The sequence below is a fragment of the Homo sapiens genome, chromosome 9 (genome assembly GCF_000001405.40).
Source record: "Homo sapiens chromosome 9, GRCh38.p14 Primary Assembly".
Taxonomy (NCBI): Eukaryota; Metazoa; Chordata; class Mammalia; order Primates; family Hominidae; genus Homo; species Homo sapiens.
In genome coordinates this window covers 34,496,773-34,517,848 of record NC_000009.12, presented here as the reverse complement: position 1 = coordinate 34,517,848, position 21,076 = coordinate 34,496,773, and the positions used below count along the sequence as shown (strand labels likewise).

Here is a 21,076-nt window from a genome sequence, read left to right as displayed (position 1 = left end):
TGAAAGCCCAGTCAATGAGGCAGTGGCTCAGCCCCAGGCCCCCTGCCTGGGTGACCTGTCCTACCCACAGCATTTCCACTGGGAAGAAATCAATGATACCTCCACATTTGCCTCTGCAGGCTTCAGATCCACCTGCTCATTGGATGTCTCCACCTGGGAAAGTCACCTGGGGCCCCACAGGTAACTCAAATGCAGCATGTCAAACTGCTGTTTTCTCACAAACCTGCTTCTACTGTGAGCCTCATTCAGGCAATGACACCATCCTTACCCTGGGTCTCCCACATCAGAAACTGGGTGGTCACCCTGGCTTCTCCCTTCTGTCATCCCCACCCTCCTGGAGACTTTACGTCTTGCAGCAGCTCAAAGTCCCAGAGCCTGTACCTTTGGCATCTTGCGCAAATTGGGTGAGAGCTTGAGGCTGATGATGTGCCCACGGTCATCGCCCACAATGATGATGGGGTGGATGAGATTGAACTGCACGTGGGTGAGCCTGTTCTTTTTGGCCGCCACAGGCTGGTTGCAGATGGCCTCATACTTGTTGATGGCTAAGTCAAATATGTGGGCCTGTGGAGAGGTCGGTGTCAGCACACTCAGGGGTAATGAGGCCTGTCTTCCACCTCAGAGGAATGAGTCCCTGGACTTCCTGGGGAAAGACTGTAGAAGGCTAATGGCTAGCACACTGGAGCTGGAGGTGGAGGGAGGGGGAATTTTGTGTCTCTGTGTTTTTCCTATGGTTGAAAGAGTGAGAATTAAAAAGTTTAGGAGAAATTTTAAATCTATGGAGAATTAATAATAGCAGCTATAGGCTGGGCGTGGTGGCTCACTGACGCCTGTAATCCCAGCACTTTGGGAGGCCAAGGTGGGTGAATCACTTGAGGTCAGGAGTTTGAGACCAGGCTGGCCAACATGGTGAAACCCTGTCTCTACCAAAAATACAAAAAATTAGATGGGCGTGGTGGTGCATGCCTGTAGTCCCAGCTACTAGGGAGGCTGAGATGGGAGAATCACTTGAACCTGGGAGGCGGAGGTTACAGTGAGCCAAGATGGAGCCACTGTACTCCAGCCTGGGCAAGAGTGAGATCTTGTCTCAAAAAAAAAAAAAAAGAAAAGAAAAGAAAATAGCAGCTACCATTTGTTGAGCACTCACTATGTACTAGACTCTGGGCAAGCACATCATACGGTTGCATCACCTCATTATGCTCTTCACAACCACTCTGTAAGGTGGTTCTGTCATTATCTTTATTTTATAACGGAGGAGTTAGAGGCTCTTAGAGGCTAACCTGCTAGTAAGTGGCAGAGCCAGGGCTTACACCAGTTAATATATGTAAAGTGCAAGGACAGTGCTTGACATACCAGTGCTCATTCCATGTTGGATGCTACCTTCACCACACCCTCAGACCAAACCACTACCAACTCTCACCTGGACAACTGTGGCAGCCTCTTAACTGGTCTCCCCGCTTCCACTCTTGCCTTGTTACAATCCATCCTCCATATGGCAGTAGGCTTACCTTTAAAGCACTTAAAATCCTCCCACAGTCTCCCTTGGCACTATAAATAAAATCCAGATCCCACACTCTAGCCCACCTCCCCACTCTCACCTCATGTTCTCGCCCCTTGCTTACTCTACCCCAACCACACTTGCCTTCCTGTTCCTTAAACCCCAAGCTGGTTCCCACCTCAGGGCATCTGCCCCAGCTGCTCCCTCACCATGGGCTGCTCCCCTGCCCTATCTCCACATGGCTGCCTCCTTCTTGCCAGTCAACTCTCAGCGTGCGTGTCACCTCTTCAAAGAAGCCTTTCCTGACCACTGTATCCAACAGACCACCCAGTCCTTTTATTTTTTCTTTTTCTTTTTTTCTTTTTCATTGCCTGGCCTTTGTGAACCTATCTTTCTTCTTTTAATGTAACAACTTTATTGAGATATAATTCATATACTATAAAATTCACTCATTTAAAGCATCAAATTCTTGGTGTTAGTATATTCACAGTTATGCAACCTTCTCTACAACCGATTTTAGAACATTTTCACCACCCTAGGCCACACAAATTGACTTTCCATCTCTACAAATTTGCCTGTTTTGGATGTATTATAGAAGTGGAATTATACAGTATGTGGTCTTTTGTGACTGGCTTTTTACGCTAAGCATGTTGTCAAGGTTCCTCCATGTTGTAGCATGTATCAGCACATCATTCCTTGTCCTTGCTGACATAATCCCCAAGGAGAGACTATATTTTGTTTATCTATTCAGCAGTTGATGGACACTGGGTTGTTGCCACTCTGACTGTTATGAGTAATGCTGCCATGAACATTTATGTTTACATATCACAGTCTTTTATTAATAATTCTCTGCCTAGAACACTGGGAATTTTGTTGTTGCTTTTTGTATCTTTCCCTTCACTAGAACATAAGCTCCACAAGAGCAGGTATCTAAGCCACCAGGGTCCAGCCTAGAGCTGGGCACCATCGTTGGCCCTTAGTAGTTATCTGTTCCAGGAAGAGATGACTGACGGACTTTAGAATGGTGCCTTCATCGCTGCATTCTTTCCTTGGGGCAGCCAGTGCTTCTCAGTTTATATCAAAGTCCATAGGGAAAATGGGTTTGCATTCAAGAATATGCTCACAAGATGTTTGTTTCTGAGCTCTCACCAATTCTCAGTGTTGAATAGCCCCCTCCCATTCCACCCCACTGAAGTTCCCTCAGAATCAGCTTGCACACTCCCGGGGATGGAGACTTCACTACATTATAGACACTATTCAGTCACTGATCAACTCTGGCTCATACATTTTTCCTTAGATGGAGCCGGGCCCTGCCACCCTCTAGCTCTCCACCATACAGCAGAGGAAATAACTGCTCCATGGCATCTCATCCCCCAGAGTGCTTTCTCCTCCAAGGTGAACAGCTCTGTTTCCTCCCTGAAGCCTCATGGGATGAATGATTCCTCTTTTGGCTGGACCCTGGATGGCTTGCCCCTGGAAAATACACAGTCCTTATGTCCCGCCTTCTCCTTCCTGACCTAGGCATGGGATGGGTTCTCCATCAGGAAGCCCCTGAGATAACACACCTGATCTCCAGTAGGGACTCAGTGAAGTCAGGACGCTGGCACTCACCTTCCCATCTGTGGTGACTGCTGCGAACACAGTAGAAGAGTATGGCGCCCAGGCCACATCACCCACGGCTGAGTTCAGGTCATAGATGAACATCGGGGTCCTGCAGAGGTGGAGGGTGGAAAGCCCATGGCACAGAGGGCTCACAGTGCCATAGCCCAGGGGAGGGCCCCAGGCAGAGCCAGGAACAGGCCCCTCACTTGATGGTGTGGTCCCAGATCTTCACTGTCCAGTCGGAGCTGCAGGACATGAAGACCTTGGTGTGGTATGGGTTCCAGGACACAGTGTCCACTGACATGTTGTGGGCGTCATAGGTGTCGAGGAATTGGCTGGAGTAGGATTTAGAGCACTGGTCGGGGAGGGAACGGGGGTCAGAAGTGAGAGAAAGGTCAGCAGCCACCACTTCCCTGGGGGTCTGGAGGATCAGAGCCTTAGACTCCTGTCCTTAACCCACATCGCATCCCAGCTGAACTGGGGCCAAGCTCCTGGCTGCCCTTCCCACCCTCAGCACACCCTGGGGGAAAGGAAGGGCTTGAGGATCTGGGGGTTCAGGATGGGCAGGGGAGACTTCCTGCAGGATGAAGGAAAGGGCTGTAGTGCCCTGACCCCAGAGGATTCCAGGCCAGACAGAAAAAGCCTTCTCTCCTTAAGAGAGGGCAGAGCAGGTCTCAGGCCCTGAGTGAGGTGTGGTCTGGCCATCTTCCAGGCCAGGACCTGTGGACAAACAGAGCCCTGGTTCCACCTGCAGCCCAGACATCATCCTTGCAACAGTGATAACATCCCACCTTGTCCAGGCAAGAGCAGGTGCAGAGCCAGAAGCTGACTTGGATCTCCAGCTTTCCTATTCAGTTTTTTGCCCTGACCAGCATGCCCCTTTCTCCCTCCCTCCAGAAGACAGTGTGACTGAGTAATCTCTTGTTACTCCTGCCTCTCCTGGGCTGCCAGTGGGAGGGGTGAAGAGGGGGTGGGGACTTCTTTTGCATTCAGACCAGCTCTGGCTGGGCCTCAGGGGCTCCCAAGAGGCTGCCTGTAATTAACATTCTGAGTCTCTGAGCCTAAGAAAAGCTTGCAGCAGAGCTATTTCTGGATGGATGGAAGTTCAGAAGGACGTTCACCTACTACCACTGAGACCTTGTAGAAACTGACCGTGAGGTTCCATCCTGCTGGCTGGGATGTACCCAGTATTCAGAGATAATTCTGGCCTTCCAAGCTCAGCTCAAGTACAAATCTCCTCCAGGAAGTTTTCCCAAAATATTCTAACTCCTCCGAATCCCCCCTTCTACCTCAACTCCCAGGAAGGGAGGGAGGGCCCGGAGGAAAAGATGCTGAGCTGGGCTAAAGTCACCCTCTAGATTCTCCATCCCCTTTCCTGCATTTAGCCCTTATTCCTATCACCCAAGCAGGTCAAGAAATACATTCTCTTCCCTCAAGAGGCCTTCTAGAACTGACGGGAACTAAAATCCATCAAAATAGGATCTGTTGAGAACTCTAAGCTCCCCAGGTGCTCAGGTCTAAGCGGCCTTCTAAGGAGCTGGCACAGGGCAGCCTCACCTTGTAGATTTTTCCCTCCTCTGTGCCCACTAGGAACATGTAGTCAATCTCTTTGTGGAAGTCAAAGGCAGTGCCACAACCTTGGGAAAAGAGGGAGGGGCAGGCTTAGCCCAGTTCCAAGAGGGAGGCTCCCAGTGCCTCCCCTACTCAGCAGAGGAGCTCAGCCCAGGCACTCTCAGCGCAGGACTCAGCGCAGGACAGACTGAACTAGGGCCCCTGTAAGGGCTGGGACCAGGCCAGGCAAACAGAAACCAGCCCTCTGGCCTGCTTGTCCCAGGCAGTTAGGATTCTGCAAACGGCCAGGGGTTCTGCAGACAGGAATGGGGGCCTGGGTAAACAAGGCAGGGATTGAGTTAAACAGGGTCAGGGTCAGGGTAAACAGGGACAGGGTCTGCAAACAGGGACACGGTCTGTGCCAACAGGGATATAGTCTGCATAAACAGGGTAGGAATTGAGTAAACAGGGACAGGATCTGGGTAAACAGGGGCCTGATCTGCATAAACAGGGCTGGATCTGCATAACAGCACCTGATCTGCATAAACAGGAACAGGGTCTGCAAACACAGGGATGGGAACTGCATAAACAGGGAGGGTCTACAAACAGCCAAGGGTTCAGCAGACAGGGCCGGGCCTTCCTACAATCTCCTGTCAGGCCCTGGCACAGGTTGGGGAGGGAGCACTCAGTCAGGGGAAGGACCACTGTCACTGACCCTCACTGGGCCTGAATGACCTGGCCAGGCCTGGAGGTGAGAGGGCTGGGGCTCCTACCCACTGGGTGCAGCTGCAACCCCTCAGGAACTTCCGTGGTGCTGCCTTCCACCTTCAGCTTGATGACATCTATGTGAACCAGCTTTCTCTGTAGCCACAGACAGAGGGATGTGGGGGGGAGGGCACGTGGGTTGGGCTAGATGAGCAAGGCTGGGGGTTGCCCTTTGCCATTTAGCTCCCTGCCTCCCCAATCACCCCAGTGTGACCCTCTCTGGGAAATAGGCACCTTCACGAGAGTCCAAGACACAATCCTGCCGTCAGATGACACAGAGAAGAAGTTAAGGTTTTGGTCCATGTCATCCTTCTGCCACTTGACCTGAAACATCCCAAAATGTGAGCTCTGGGACCCTGCTAAAGTGTTGAGTTAGGGCTGTGGGCAGAGCAGGGCTCCCCCAAGCACCCATCTGAGGCTCAGAAGCAACTTCTGGGAGCCCATTTCCCAGAATCCCATGATTGGTCCTTTCTCCCTCCTTCCATCCATCTCTGTCTCTCATTCCTTTCTTGGGGATTTCTCATTCCTTTCTTGACCATCCTGGAGCAATAGTGCCAGTCAAAGCATTGCCTTAATTTACTGGCTTGGCAGTGGAGGTACCCAATCCCTCCCTGGGTTGGGTTCCAGGAGCTCCACTGTGGGGAGAAGGCAGTGGCTACGGCTTCAACCACCTTGCATAAATAAACATGGCCTGGAAAGAACAGGGCCCATCAACCAGTTTCCTGTTTATAAAACAGGAGTCATAATAGCATAGGTTTGTTATGAGAAATAAATGAGATACTATATGTGAAGCCCTTACGTCAGAACATTGCACATATGAAGTATTCGATACATGTTAGCTAATGTCCTCATTGTTACCATCATCCTCGGAATCTGGGTGCCAAGGTTCTGCAGGGGCCTTTCCCTGCTTGCTAGTGGGGGGTGAAGAGGAGCAGGCCCCCGTCTCCTGCCCACCTCTTCCAGGCTTGGCCTTTCTCTAGGAAGTGTCTCCTCTTTCCCACCTTTCCTTTGCTACTAACTCCTGCTCCCAGAACTTTGCTCCCAGTCCCAGATTTGAGTTGCATTTCTCCAACTGCAAATCAGGGTTAATTATCCTGCCCCACCCATCTTCTCAGGGCTGGAAGCAAACATATGGGAAAGTGTTTTGGAGACAGAGCTGTTGTCTTATGAAGATGACACGCTTGAGACTCAAGTTTCTGTTGCCAGATGTGGAGGCCTGGCCAAGCCATGTCCCAGAGAGCTGGGGTGGGGCTGGGTGCCCAGAGTTTTCCATTCTCTAGCTCCCTCCAGACCGCCCATGCTGGGACCACCGTCCTGTCCCCTCCCCGTCACTAGCAGAGGACCAGTGAGGGAGGCCAAGAACCCAGTGCCATTGCCTGTTGCCTGTAACTGCTGCTGTCACCAGGGTTGTTGGGGGCTGGAGGGAAGTAGAGAATGGGTTGCCTCTCCCCAGCCAGCCTGAGGCCTGGTGGATCGGAGCTTCAGGAGGGCGGGCTGAGTCCTGTCTTGGTCTGTCCAGGCAGCTGGCTCTTTTGCACTTTCACTGGACTGAGAGCGCCACAGAGCCTGTGAGGCATAAGTCAGAGTCAGCCCTAATATTGAGACCGCTTCTCCTTCTGTGTAAAGGTGGTCCCTTTAAAGGGGGGAGGGGACAGGGGGTGTCAAAGGCCAGGCTGTAAGAGGCGCTAGGGAGCTGCAAAGGGAAGTGTTTAATGAGCAGACGCCAGCACCGCATGGAAATTGTATTTCACACCCCACTTAGCAGCCTGATGCCCAGTGGGGGGTGGTGTGTGTGTATTTGCAAGTGACTGTGTATGTGTGTATGTGCGCAAGTCACACACATGCTCCTGGGGTGGAGGTGAGCCGGTAGGAATAAAGCAAAAGAGGGAGGGTGGTAAGTGAGGTTAAGAGAATGAATGAATTCCCAGGGACCAGGTGGTAGGGAGGAGCTGGAACCTGCTTCACTGATTTATTCTCTTCTGCCTTATTTTCTTAGGGCAGACCTGCTTGACCCTAGTCTCTTGCTCGTACATCCTTCCTGCCTCCTTCCCCAGAATTGCACCAGCACGCACACACACACACACCCCACAGAGTGTTGCTGGTTGAAGCTTCACAGTAGGGCCTGCACAGAGCTGGCTACTCAGGCAGGTTCCCTGGAGAAGAAGCCTGTGCTGTGGGACAGGAGCCCAATCTTCTTAGAACAGACAGTCCTCTCCTTGGCTCCAAAACCTTCCATGGCTCACCACTGCCAACAGAACAAACTCCTTCTGCCTCAGCCTGGCATTTGAGATCTAACACAACCTCTCTGGCCTCCCCCATATATCTCTGACACAGTATCTCTGACACAGTCCTGTTAAGAGGGACTTAGACTCTGATGTCTCTGACATCTCATTCACCAGCCTGGCTTTCCTTCAACCTCCATGCTCATATAGCCAACTGCCTGGAGGATGCCTCCCTCTGGGTGTCCCTTGGGTTTCTTGTATTACTTTCTGGCCAAACCTGTTTTTCTTTTTTTTCTTTTTTTTTTTTTTTTGAGACGGAGTCTCGCTCTGTCGCCCAGGCCGGACTGCGGACTGCAGTGGCGCAACTGTTTTTCTTCTGCCATTTCTCACTCCTATGGATGGCCTACTAAGCACCTCAAACCCAGGCAGCATCAGTTCTTCTATCTAATATCTGATCAATCACTTCCTTCTATTGATTTTGCTACCCCACCAGCTCTCAACCCTGTCTTCTCATTTCTGTCTCCACTGCCCCTGCCCTAGCTCAGGCTTCAAAATCACTCATGCTGCAGCCAGAGGATCCTTCCAAGAGACAAACATGACTGTGTTACTCCTCTGCCCCAAACTCTCTGATGGCTGGGCAGCAATTTTCGAACTATGCTCAGGGGGGTAGAGGGAGTGAAAACAGGGGACCCTTAAGCAAGCAGGGACCTGGTCCTAACAGAGCACCACTCTCATCTTTTTAATATTTTCTCATCTCTTTTTAATATTAATCTCATCTTTTTAATATGGGCTTCTGCATGAACACTTTGCTTGAAACCACGGACGTACAATGTCCAAGCATCTTAACTTAATAGATAAGTGCAGGGTGCTTCAAATGACGTGTCACTTCCCAACAGGCTACTCTGCTTGATGCCCCATGTCATTGCACATGTGACCCCTTTGTACCCTTCTTCATCTCACTAACTCTCTCTCCTCCCTCACAATCCAGCTCAGGTGTTGCTTCCTCTAGAAAGACCTGCCCAGCCCTCCACCCCCTGGTCCCCACCCAGGACAGTGTGGGTGCCCCTCCTTGCGCACTTCTACTTTAGCACTTAGCACGCTGCCCTGCCCTGGTCAGTCTGTGGCTGTGGTTATCTCCCCAGTAGGAACTCCAGAGATCAACCAGAGGAGCACACAGGGAGGAGTTACTGAATGTATGAATGAGTAAGTGAATGAATAAGGAGGGAGGAAGGAATGAGAAGAAAAGAAGAGAACAGGAAGTGAGTAAACAAGTGAGAGACAGGTGGGTCCTGACCATGTCACATGCCATTATTCTATATAAAAAACTGAGTCTTCCATTTTGCAAAGGCAGCAGCCCTGTTTTCCTGGCAGGATAGGAGAGCAGAAGGCTTCTCTGTCCAGCTGAGTTCCTGTCTTCTTGGGACCTGCTCAGCGAAAGCAATAATGTTTCTTCTCAACGCCCCATTTTCCCAGCAATCTGCTATTTGATTTACAGGACATAGCAGAGTAGGAGTAGGGTGGTTGGCTTGGGCCTCTGCCCTTCTGCTTGGCTTGAGGAAGGAAGGTGGTCAGGCCAACCAGAGATGCTCTGCGCTTGGCCCTGGGCTATCTGAGCTGGGAAAGCAGGGGCAGGGCTGGGCCAGGTATGATCAAGACAGGCCTTTTCTCCTCTCCCTGAGTTTTAAAGTTTCTACAGAGATCCTTCCCTGCCTGGAGACCTACATGTGTCTGGAAGGCCTGGTGATTAATTGGGAGGTGGACTTTTTGGTGGAGAAAACTCCTGAGGCTGCAACCTCTGGTCTCTGCTTTGTTGGAGAGTAGCCGGGGAGGGCGTATGGCAGGAGGGGCTGCCTCCCTCCCACCCTCTGCCCCAGGCTCTGGGTAAAGGATAAAGCTGAGAGGGCACCATGGCCCCTGTGCCTGGGCAGTCCTCCCTCTGCTCAGGCCTGTCAGTGCTGGGGAAGGTGTCCACATGTCTCAGGAAGCTCAGGGCCATAAGAGGCAGGAGTGTAGAACTTGCCTGCAGACTGTCAGGGCAGGAGGGAAGTGAAAGAAGAGAAGACAGAGTCCCACTGCTGTCTGATGAGCCCAGAGACCTTGAGCAACTTCAGGCAGAAATTCATCCTTAGGTCCTCCCAGTCCTGCCCATGGAAAAATAGTACACAGCCTTTGAAAGAAGGGGACCTTTGGGACACAATAAGGAAGGGCCTGCAAAGCCACAGCTAAGAGACCCTCTGAGAGTGAAACTGAAATCTACGCCCAGTGGAATATGATGGGAAACACAGTCAGGGTGAAATCCAGCCCCAATGTCGAGGTAATGGTTCCAGGTTGGTGTCAGACTTCTGCAGAGGCCCCACCCACCACTCTAGGTATGTCTGGAGAAGAGGGGGTGCTACAGAGAGGCTCAGGGGCAGACCTGCCTACCAGGCCTTACAGTCCCACCCGAGGGCAGGCAACCAGCAGCAGCCACCCCTTCCTGGGAGTTTCCCCAAATCTAGCCCAGATGGCAGAGGAAAGGCCCCGTGCGGAGTTGAGGAAGCTTGTAGACAAGGACCTGGTCTTTAACATACAGTTGACCCTTGACCAACATGACTTTGAACTACATGGGTCCAACTATACACAGGTTTTCTTCTGCCCCTGCCATCCATGAGACAGCAAGACCAACCCCTCCTCTTTCTCCTCCTCTTCAGCCTCCTCAATGTGAAGATGATGAGGATGAAGACCTTTGTGATGATCCACTTACATTTAATGAACAGTAAATATATTTTTTCTTCCTTATGATTTTCCTAATAACATATTTTCTTTTCTCTACTTGCCTAATTGTAAGGATACAGTACATAAAATATACATAACACACAATATATGTGTTATTTGACTGTTGTCAGTAAGGCTTCTGGTCAAAAGTAAGCTATTAGTAGTTATGTTTTTGAGGACCCCAAAGTTATACACAGATTTTTGACTGTGTGGGGGTCAGTGTCCCTCATTCCCACATTGTCTAAGGGCCCACTGTACTCAGCTGGAGCCTGTCAGGCCCTGGAGCCTTCCAGCTATGTCTTCTGAGTTACTGATCGCCACATCTAAGAGATCTTTAGCAAACAGGTGGGGGCCCTCCTGAGGGAAGCTCTGGAGCAGCAGACCCCAGCTCTCACTGGAGACCCTCTTGCCTCCTGATTTTCACCTTCTGCCCTTTTCTGACACCCAGATCCTGACCTGATGGTACCTGCCATCCTCATCTCCTTGCCTGTGGTCCTCTCCTCCCCAAGCTCCCTCCCTCCTCCAGTGGCTCCAGGCCCACATGCTGCTCCCATCCCCACCCCTCCCAGCCTGGTTGCTGACCTGCCACACAGGGTCTGAGTGCTTGCCAGACTTGGCTGAGCTGCAGAAGGAGGGCTGGGAGTGGGGCTTCTTGAGGTTGTAAATGGCCACGTTGCCGTCATAGTGGCCTACTGCCACCAGGTAGGGGTGGTCCACGTGGATGTCGAGACACATGACGCCGCTGTTGCTGCTGAACATGTACTCAGGGAAGCTGGGGTTCTTCAGGCTGTAGAGCAGCAGCATGCCCCGGCTCTGCTTCATGAAGTCATCTACCCAGGGAAGATGGGCGGCTGAGGTTGGAGGATCCAACTGCCCTGCCTGGAGAAGCCCCCTCACCCCTACCCCACTAGGTGGGCAAGCCCTGCCCTGCTCTGCATCTGTCAGAGTGTGGGATTCCTCTCTGGGATTCATCTTTTCCATCTGTGAAGTGGAATTATGAGATGTGACCTTTCCCTTCTCAGAGATCATGGAAAGATCCAACAACCAATCAAGGTGACCAGGTTTATTCTCCTAATTCTCCCCAAGGTGCAGGAAAGGGGGATGCTGGCTCAAAGAGCTGCTAAGTGAAGAAGGTGTGTGAGCTTGGGAAGGAGCAGAACCCTCAGAGGGGGTTTGGATGCCCAGCCAAGGGCAGGCAGCTTTCCATAGATGCCTGGATAATGCCCATGTACCCCTCCCCCCAGCTAAATATGGGCTAAGCTTGAACTAACATCGAATTGTCTACAGTGAGTCCCAAACTAGCCACCTATGAGCATATCCCCACAGTCCCAGGTTCAGCCTGAGCCCTAGATCTAGGCATGCTCCCCAAACCCAGAAGTCCCAGGCCAGCCAGTCAGGCTTCCACAGGCCCACTTGACCTGGGCACAGCTTTTGGCAATCAACAATGGACCACTCAGCAGAGGCCCTTCTCCCCACCAGCCCCATGTCAAGGGAGTGCCTCCCACTCTTTCTTTCATTTTCTGTGTACTTGGCGCCCATCCTGATATGTAGTCATGAACATAGTCCCAGCCCTTCCGCCACCAGCTCGGTCCTCCCAGCCTCCTCACCAAGCTCAGGGGAGCCGAAGCTGGAGAGGTGGAAGGCTAGTGCAGCCCCTACCTGGGGGCACTCTGCTAAAGCAGAGGGCATGTAGGGGCATCAGGCCAGGTCAGTGGACAGGAGGAAGTAGATGCCACGCTACAGAGACAAGGATACCAGGCCAGCCACTGACAGCAGGCTTCCTCTCTTACTGTGCTGTCCTAAATGAGTCTAGCCCAGGACTGGCTCCAAGACAGCAGCTGTTTAATGACTCCCTTATTAAGTCATGCAAGAGGCACTTGGAGGGGGTGTGTGGTAGGCAGAATAAGGCCCCCCTGCAAAGATGTCCATATCCTAATCCCCTGAGCCTGTAAATATGTCACTTTTCATGGCAAGAGGGATTCTGCAGATTTGATTAAGTGAAAGACATTGAGATGGAGGAGATTATCCTGGATTATCTGGGTAGACTCAATGTAATCACAAGGGTTCTTATAAGGGAAAGAGGGAGGCAGGAGAGTCAGGGAAGGAGATGTAACCATAGAAGCAGATGTCAGAATGATTCGATTGCTTGCTGGAAGGGGACCACAAGCCATGGAATGTGGGCAGCCTGTAGAAATTGGAAAGGGGAGGGAAAGGGCTGCTCCCCTGGAGCCTCAAGAGGGAATGCAGCCCTGTTACCACCTGGTTTTGGTTCCGTGAAACCTATTTTGGACTTCTGACCTCCAGAACTATATGATAATTTTGTGTTATTTTAAGCCATTAAATTTGTGGTAGTTTATTCCAGCAGCAACGGGAAACTAATATAGTAGACATTTAGGGAAAATTGACCCAAACGTACTTTAGGAATCAGAGAGAGAGGCTCCCATAGATGGCACTTTTTTTTTTCTGGGATGGTTTGGAAGCCGTCCCTCTAGAAGTCAGCTGGATGGATGCAATGCTCCTCCGCCCTTCTGATGACAATAATGAAACCCTCTCTCCATTTCCCATACCTCAGCCTTGCCACCTTCGACTCCAGGAACAAAAATTCCCCTTGTGTTAGGACGTTCACAGTTTCCAAAGGCAGGGGACTAGCCCAAGGCTGCTCTAAAGAAGGTTATCAGTTGCTAGAGGGTTCAAAACCTCAAGCATGGCCCAGAGGCCATGGTGCCGAGCTGGGCTCAGCCTCTCCAGCAGCTGGGCTTTTCCAGGCACTCTCGTTCGATTAGAAGTCATATTTAAACAGTGTGGAAATAAGAGCAAGGCCTTAGAGACAGAATACATCAAGCGGGACATTTAATTTGATTTAGGGAAAATGAGGCAAACATTTGAGAACCTAAATAACTAACCAGTAATTAAACTAACAACAGGAATGCCCTTGCATTACAACCCAGCAAGCACAGTGGCCTTTAAGGACTGTATTTACAAAGAGACCTGACAACATAATTAGTCTTGTAAATTTTACGCAGCCCGCAGCCGAGGAGTGATGGATTTTGTGTGTGGAGGATGAATGAGAAGAAATGAGGTGGATGAATTTCCATTTCCAGTAAATGAAATTAACACTGCTTAATTAGTGAAGCTGACAAACAAATGATCAGGAAAGATTTAAATCCCTAAAAGTGTATCTCTGGCCTGGGCAGGCCCAGGGACAGGCCAGGATGTGGTGGGACAGAGTGGGAAGGGATTTAGAGCTGGGACTCAGAGCCTGACATTGGCCCCTTTTGAGGGTGCTGTCCCCAGACAGAGGCTGGGCTGGGGAACAGCTGGCTCCCCTGCTCTTCCAATACATGGCGCTCTGGGAAGCTTCTTGCCCCATCTCCTGTGTGATAGCCTCAGGACCACACAGAGCATCCTGATCTGTTCCACCATCCATGCCTGGAAGACCATGAGAAGTCCCTGTTTCCCTGCTATGAATTGGCTAATGGGCTGGAAAGGACCCCTTCAGTACAGCCGGCTGACATCATTGCATCCCAGCAGTCCCAAGGCCATCTCTTCTTGGGCTAGTTCCTTTTCTTCTAACCTTCCTCCACCTGCTTTATACCTACTGACAGCCTCTTTCTCTACTCTGCTGGGAACATGTAGCCTGGCCCTAGGGGGATCCCAATCTTTGCCCTTTAAGCAGCCTATTGTGCTCACTAGCTGGTACCCAGCAGCTATAGAAGGGAAGCAGGTAGGGATGTTTCTGTGCTGTTGCAGGCAATTGCCCAGATTTCCTTTTCTCTACCTGCTTGTTCCTGGCTGGCTCCAACCAACCTGGCCTGTCCCAGAAATGAGGGAATGGCTACAGTCCTTCCTAGGGTACATACCTACCCCTGCCAAAGTTTTATTTGGCTGAGTCACAGAATAAATATCTGGGAATACCATAAAAAGGAGGTTTATGAGGTCTAGACTCAGCTCACCAGAGTCAAATCCAACTACAAACCCAAATTCTCACTCCAGTGTTTGTCCTCATGAGGCAAAAGCTGATTATGGGAGGGTGGTATCTGGGAGCTTCCAAAGACAGTGTGATGGATGCTGGTGAGACCAGCTGCTCCTCATAGTGACCCCATCCAGCAGCTAGGGTGCCTTCTGTCTGCCCCAGCTTCGCCCTCTTTCTCCCATGGAGGCACTCAAGAGCATGGGACTCCCAGAGGCAAGCTCAGGATGGATGCAGGGGCCTTCCTGAGTCTCAGCCAGCCTGGTTCTATTCAGGCCTCTGCAGGTGGTTCTGAGATATGCAAGGCTCTGGAGAATAGATGCTCATCTGAAAGCCGGCCAACAACCCCAGAGCCAGTGACAACAAAAGCAAATACCACTGCTGCTGCCACTGGGCCCTGCTCCCTAGGAGACTACCTCTGTCTCCACACCCCCCTTCTCTGCTCGGGCTCCCTGAGGGTACTGCAGGAAAGCTACGAGAAAGAATGACAGACAAATCAGCAATGATTGTCCGTTATGTGTAGGTGGTTCCTCCGCTTGCAGCATGTTTACTTCTTCTCTCTCAAGCGTACCTCACAATAGCCCTGGAATGGAGGCCTGGCAGGTTGTCAGCCTTTCCATGTCACCAACGAAGAAACCAAGGCTCAGAGAGGCTTCTGGCCCCAGGTGTCACTGGAAAGTGACACCCCCACCCCCAGGACTGTAGCTGACGACGGGTACCACTCAGGCACGTGGATGTAGCTAACAGCATCAAGGAAGGACAAAGAGACCGTTCTCAGGTAAGTGCCTGCCCAAAGGACATTGCTGGGCTTGTCAGGCTCAAGGTCTTCTGCTGGTGGGAGGTGACCTACTCTACTGCTCCTGCCCAAGGCTGCCCAGCCCTCCAGCCCCCACGACAGCCTCCACATGACCCCGACCAGCTGAGCCTGCTTCCGAACCTGGGTGCGGGGAGAATAGCGCTAAAACTGAAGCAGTTTCCCCTCCCACCTTCTGAGGAGCAACCCCTACACCCCTGCTTCAGACCTGGGCAGAGAGCCTGGGTTGAGAGTAGCCTCACAGGGGGGTCCACACCCACTCCTGGGAGGGCCTGCCCAACCCAACCCCCAGGCCCTGTTCCAGGCCCAGTAGCTGCAGCAGAGGGGGAGGAATGTGCTAGTTCCCTGCCAGAGGGGGAGGGCACTTCCCACTTGGCAGCAGCCCACCCTCAGGAGTGGGGACACAAAGCAGGCATTTAGGGCATCCTCAAAGGCGGCCCAGACCACAAGACTGGGAGTAGCTCCAAGGTCTCCTCCCTGAGAGGAATGACAAACACCCACTGCCCCTCCCCACCCTGGTCAAAGAATGGGTGGACAGGCAGTCTGAGGGGCAGTGACTGGGAGCTTGTATGCCTGCCAGCCAGCAGCAGCTTGGAGAATGGAAAGGTTTTTGTGTTTGCAGAAGCTGATCCTCCCAGCCAGAGAACAAGCTGTTAGCACTGGGGAGCGAGACTACTGTGAAGTGTAGGGCCCTCTCCCGTTGGGAAGGGGGAATGTCCAGGCCAGCACAGCGCTAGGGGCTTCTTCTGGGACCAAGTAACATGAAGGGAAAGCAAATCGCCTGGACACAGTTTCCATTGTGCTGCCTTCCTGCCTTGGGTGGGTAACTGGCAGGGGCGGGCACACTCTGGATAGCAGTGGGCTCCGAAGGTTCAGGGGATCCCATCCCCCATGCCCCCACCCACCCGGTCAGGAAGGCCTGAGGAGGAGGCAGGAAGGGGGGGTCTCCATCCCTACTCCACAGTGTGGTTAAGGTCCTGCCATCTCTCCTTGGGATGCCCGCATCAGTCTCCTAACTGGTTTCCTTGCCTCCAGTCTCAGGCCTGCAATGCCTGCAATTCCTCCCTGCACTGGTCATGTCCCTGTCCTTGAATTCCTTCAGTGGTTTCCCCTCAGGAGAAGATCCAAGCTTTTTGGAATGGCTTACCAGGCCCTTTGAGGGCTGACCCTGGCCCCCCCAGCAGCTTCATATTCTGCCATATTCCTCATGCCTCCAAGCCTTTGCATATGCAGGTCCCTCTGCCAGAAGTGTTTTCCCCTCTTTCTTCACCAGAATAACTCCTTCAAGGTTCCATTGACACATTCAGCTTAGAATATTCCTTCACCCAGCACTAATTGCCAGTAGGATTGTGGGTCTTCCCCATTAGACTGTGAGCCCCCTGCGGGCAGTCATCTTTGTATTTCTTACAACTGGCAAAGAGTTCTGCACAGAGTAGGTACTTAGTGTTTGCTGTTTACATGAGCAAATAAATGAATAGTCAGATCACTTACAAGAGCCATATCCCACTGCAAACAGATCCCTGTACTTTGGATTCCTGCAAAAAAAAATATGAATCCATTGGCATAGGAAATGAACATGGCCCTCCTGTGGACAAGGGCCTTCCCATTGGCACTGGTGCCTAAATATACTACAGACATCTGTTCTCCAGCTTAGGCCCTCACCACTTGGGAGTCCTGGGGGTGGTCTTGTGATCCCATAAGAATCCAAGTTCCATATTTTTCTATACTGTCACATGTCATACTCAAGGTGGTTAAGTGCAGAAGGGGGTACTGGGGGTTTGGGATGTAGAGGGCACTCAGGGGCTCTGCATTTGCTGCAATGCCTATACTTACCAGCAGAGGGCAGTGACGGACAGGCGCTTGGCTTTGTCATTTTGGAACTTCCAGAGCGGCAGCAGGGTACCCACCTGGTCCCGGTATTCATCAGCAGCATCGTCATAGTACTTAAAATCTTAAACACACACAGGCAGAGTCAGCCCTGGGACTGCCGCTTTATGGCAAACCCAGGTCCACCACTTACTGTCTGTACCTCCTTGGGCAAAACAATGAGCCTCTGTTTTAGAGTGGGAATAATACTACTACCTATCTCAGAGTTCTGTTGTGAGGATATATGAATTGAGTTAATATATGCAAAGAGCTTAGAAAAATGCCTGGCACATAGTAAGCTCTATGTGTTAGCCATTGTTACTGTCGTTGTTGTTGGAGGTACATTACAATACACCGGCCATGTCTACATGGATAAAATCCCAGGTTCGCAGCCCTTGTTCCCATGTGTTTCCCTAGCATTTCAGGAGGCTCTGTTTGGAGGAGCCAAATTTCAAGGGTTCAGCTGCCAAGGGCTGATTAATAGTTCCATTAATTCTGCCTCCTAAATCCCTAAAATGCAGCCCATTTTCATATCCACAGCCAAGTCTCCCTATAATGAAGCTGCCTAGATCCCCCATGGGTTCTCTGAACCCAACTTCATCTCCTGCCCACAAAATTGTCTCTGCCTTCCACTTTCTTTAAGTTAGATAGATGCCCCATCCTCCCACTTGTCTAAACCAGAAATGAGTAATCCTTGACTGATCTGTTTCCATAATTTCTCATATTTTTCTTCTATCTTTTTAATTCATTCGCTTCTCTCCAAACCCATAGCCCCTGCCCAGGTTCAGGCCCCAACATCCATCACCTGTATTATGACAACATCCCTCTAACTGGTCTCCTACCTCCAGTAACTCCTTCTCCAACCCTTGTTTCACAGAACAACCAGTGTGAGTACAAACAAGGCACCTCACGACACCCCTTTCCTCACTCCACTGAAACCCCCTCAATGGCTCTCCTTGCAGAGGAGATTAAACCAAGAGGAGATCCACGTTATTTCTAGTCAGCTGTCCGTGTCCCCTCCATATCAAATCATGCCAATGAGTCCAGTTGTCTCCTGTTTTGGGTGTTTCTACATCGTTTTCCATGTCTAAGATGCCCTGTTCTTCCTGGCAAACTCCTACTCACTCCAGATCCAGATCAAACTCTTTCTCATCTGTAAGGCCTTCATTTTCTTTTGAGCAGAGTTAATTTCTTCCTCTGTTCCAGCCCTGCCTCTCCTCTACTGAAACATCTGTCACACTAGATTGCCTCTATCCTTTTGCCTGTTCTCCCCCACCAGACAATATCTGGAGAGCAGGACACACATATATTCTCTGGGTCCCCAGTGCCTAGCACAGGGCCAGCCACAAAACAGACAACCAACAACTGTTTAAAGAATGCAGTGAAATTCATTAACAGAAGTGAAGTAGTTCTTGATCTTCTTTAGACAAAGGGTGACCAATTAGAAAATGAATCCTGTCATTCAGTGAAGCCAAGAACATGCCCAGGCCTGACATCTCCTATAGTGCCCATACCTTGAGGTTGTGGGACTTCACTCAAACCTCAAAAATGTCTCAGAACAAAAAAGATTCAAGTGGTCAGAGAGGCGTGAGCCTTGATTACATCAGAGATTACCCCGCTTGGGTTATCTTTGAAAATACTTCAATTCAGAGCAGAGATTAATTGGTAACACTTCTCTATTTTCATGTCTCCTTCATGATTACACTTTCCCAAAGGGAAAGGAGTATGCAATTAAAAAAATCAAAGTTCAATACATTTTTATGTGACTGTGTTCTTATAAATGAAAGTGGTTCACCAAGGCCAATTTCTCCATGGATATTAATCAGGTTTGCAGCCCTTTGGTGGGCCACTTGCAGAGGCTGGGTTTCAAGAAGCCACGCTGTGTGAGTGACAAACTCATTCACAGCTGTTGTGTACTTTGACAGCTTTGAAAAGCACTCAAGGTCGTTTTCCAGCCTGAATGATAATGAGGGGGCTTGTTTAGGTGGCTGGTTTTGGCAGCCCTGGTTTCTGTGTCCCATGGGTGAGCAATGAGCATCAAGTCACCAAGAAGAGCCCTAGGCTGTCAGCAAAGGAGACCAGCCAGCATCGAGGAGCTGCCAACTCTGGGAAGGCAGCTGCTCCAAATAAATGCACAACCTCTTAGGGAAATACAAGCCACTTGGGAATGTGCTGTTCATGCCATGGGAAGGATTCTGTTTCCCTGACACTGTCAGACACCAGAATTTCCCAGGCCCCCAGGATTTAAGCATTTCTGAATCAATCTCTTTCTTCAACTCATCACTAATTAATCACCAGGATAGATCTATTGAGTGTGTTTATTTGAAATGTCTCTTCCGGCTCAGTGGCTTTGCAGCCTAGCGGCGAAGTGCTTAGGTGATGGATCCAAGGGGCCTGTGTTCGAGTTCTGATTCTGCCACTCACACTTCACACTAGCTGTGACTTTGAAAAAGTGGCAACATCCCAGCCTGAGTTTCTCATCTATAAAATGGAGATAATAATGGTATTCACCTCACAGTGTGGCTGTCAGGAACAAACAAAATAATAACATGTAAATTGCATAGCACAATGCCTGACACACAGGCTACTCCCAGTGAATGCTGGAGCTTGTTTCTCACTATTATAACTGTTCCCTTTTCTCCATTCCTTAAGACACAGGCTAGGTCAGGTGTGGTAAGGCCCATTCCACCCCACATTTGAGCCTCACCTCCACCTCTGCCCTATATTCTACACAATCACATCCTCCTCCAGCCTTGCTCTCATCGGGCTGTGTCCCTGCCTAGAAAGTTTCAGTTCTCTGAACTGTCTGCAGAGATAGGTCACATTCCTTGCATGATATTCAAGGCCCTTCATTAATGGGCTCCAACAACCTCTTCCGCCTGAACTCTCACCTCTTTTCAATGAAGATCCTGTTTGGGTCAGGGAGCCTGCTGTCCCTTGTCCCCAGAGTCCATTCCTATTCGGTTTCACTGCCAAGACACTGCTCATGCCATCCCTGTCCAGAACATCCTCCCTGTAGCTATCTTCTCTCACACACTCTGCTTCTCCCTTGGCATCTAGCTAAGCCCTCTCCAAAGCCTTCCATAACTACTCCCACTCATCCCTCACTTTCCTTCTCTCCTATGTGAGGATCCCCAGAGTGGTTTCTGTCTACCCCATACATTCTGGCATTTATAGCATTCCCAAGGTGCTCTGAGTAGAGGACAGAGCATAGAATGAGGAAGATCGAGACCTCTATTTGGGTCCTCTCTGCCACTCACTAGTCAGGTGGCCTTAGCCTTAGCTTCCTCATGTGTACAGTATGGGCAAGTCTCTGCTCTGCCTGCCTCCCAGGGTTATCAGGAAGATGAGATTGGATCACCCATGTGCAGGTATTCTTTGCTGCACCACTTCCAGATCTCATCAGTATACACATTGTTTCTTATGCCATCAGTCATGGTTAATCCACATAAGTCTTGTCTCCCCAGTGACATCCAGAGGACAGAGGGATTATTTTTTCTCCGCTTGCACCTATAGGAGCTAGCAAGAGACACCCAAATAACCCAAGCTTTTATGAGAAATTTTTAATACAGGCAATAATAGTGGTTGCCAGAACTTCAACTCTTACCTTGAGCAATGTCATCATATGTATTCTGGTTGACCATCCGCTCCATGATCTTAGCAGCTTGGGACAATTTGATGAGATCATCAGTCTGTGGGGATACAGAAACTTCAGGTCCTCATAAACCAGCACTTAGCAAGGTCATATGTCCTGAGCCATGTCACCCTTGCAATTGATTCAGCAGTAGCTCTCTGGCACTACTCACCCCAGATAGCTCTGTAAAGGTTTCTCTGCATGTCTCAAGGCCCAGCTCATGCCACTACCCTCTTCTAGGAACTCCTACCTCACAAGTGGCACAAAGGGTCTGAGCTGATATACTTGGCCCCTGGGTAGAACCTGCTTCATGCTTTCATTCTGGACTTGTTTTGGAGAAGGCCTATCTCTGAGCACAAGACAGGGCATTGAAGAGAGCCCAGGAAGGGTCTGCAGGGGA

The 21,076-nt window shown here is 50.6% G+C and overlaps 1 protein-coding gene across 2 annotated transcripts in view, besides 1 other annotated feature; it reads right to left on the bottom strand.

Moving 5' to 3' along the window:
• DNAI1 (dynein axonemal intermediate chain 1) overlaps nucleotides 1-21,076 on the bottom strand; it is a 62,180-nt gene that overhangs the window by 3,136 nt on the left and 37,968 nt on the right. For both annotated transcript variants that reach the window (NM_001281428.2, NM_012144.4), the window contains exons 10-19: nucleotides 20,650-20,734; nucleotides 17,010-17,127; nucleotides 16,668-16,711; nucleotides 10,975-11,222; nucleotides 5,651-5,740; nucleotides 5,425-5,512; nucleotides 4,658-4,737; nucleotides 3,307-3,455; nucleotides 3,110-3,209; nucleotides 382-564 (exon numbers count right to left, since the gene is read on the bottom strand). In NM_001281428.2, coding sequence (NP_001268357.1) covers nucleotides 382-564; nucleotides 3,110-3,209; nucleotides 3,307-3,455; nucleotides 4,658-4,737; nucleotides 5,425-5,512; nucleotides 5,651-5,740; nucleotides 10,975-11,222; nucleotides 16,668-16,711; nucleotides 17,010-17,127; nucleotides 20,650-20,734 — 1,185 coding nt within the window. The remainder of the gene's footprint in view (nucleotides 1-381; nucleotides 565-3,109; nucleotides 3,210-3,306; nucleotides 3,456-4,657; nucleotides 4,738-5,424; nucleotides 5,513-5,650; nucleotides 5,741-10,974; nucleotides 11,223-16,667; nucleotides 16,712-17,009; nucleotides 17,128-20,649; nucleotides 20,735-21,076) is intronic.
• Nucleotides 4,380-5,132: an enhancer, noted in NCBI's record as "H3K27ac-H3K4me1 hESC enhancer chr9:34512715-34513467 (GRCh37/hg19 assembly coordinates)". NCBI's record gives its function as "activates a minimal SCP1, AML or CMV promoter by ChIP-STARR-seq in naive H9 embryonic stem cells {active_cell/tissue: H9 hESC(naive)}" and the evidence as "EXISTENCE:reporter gene assay evidence [ECO:0000049][PMID:30033119]".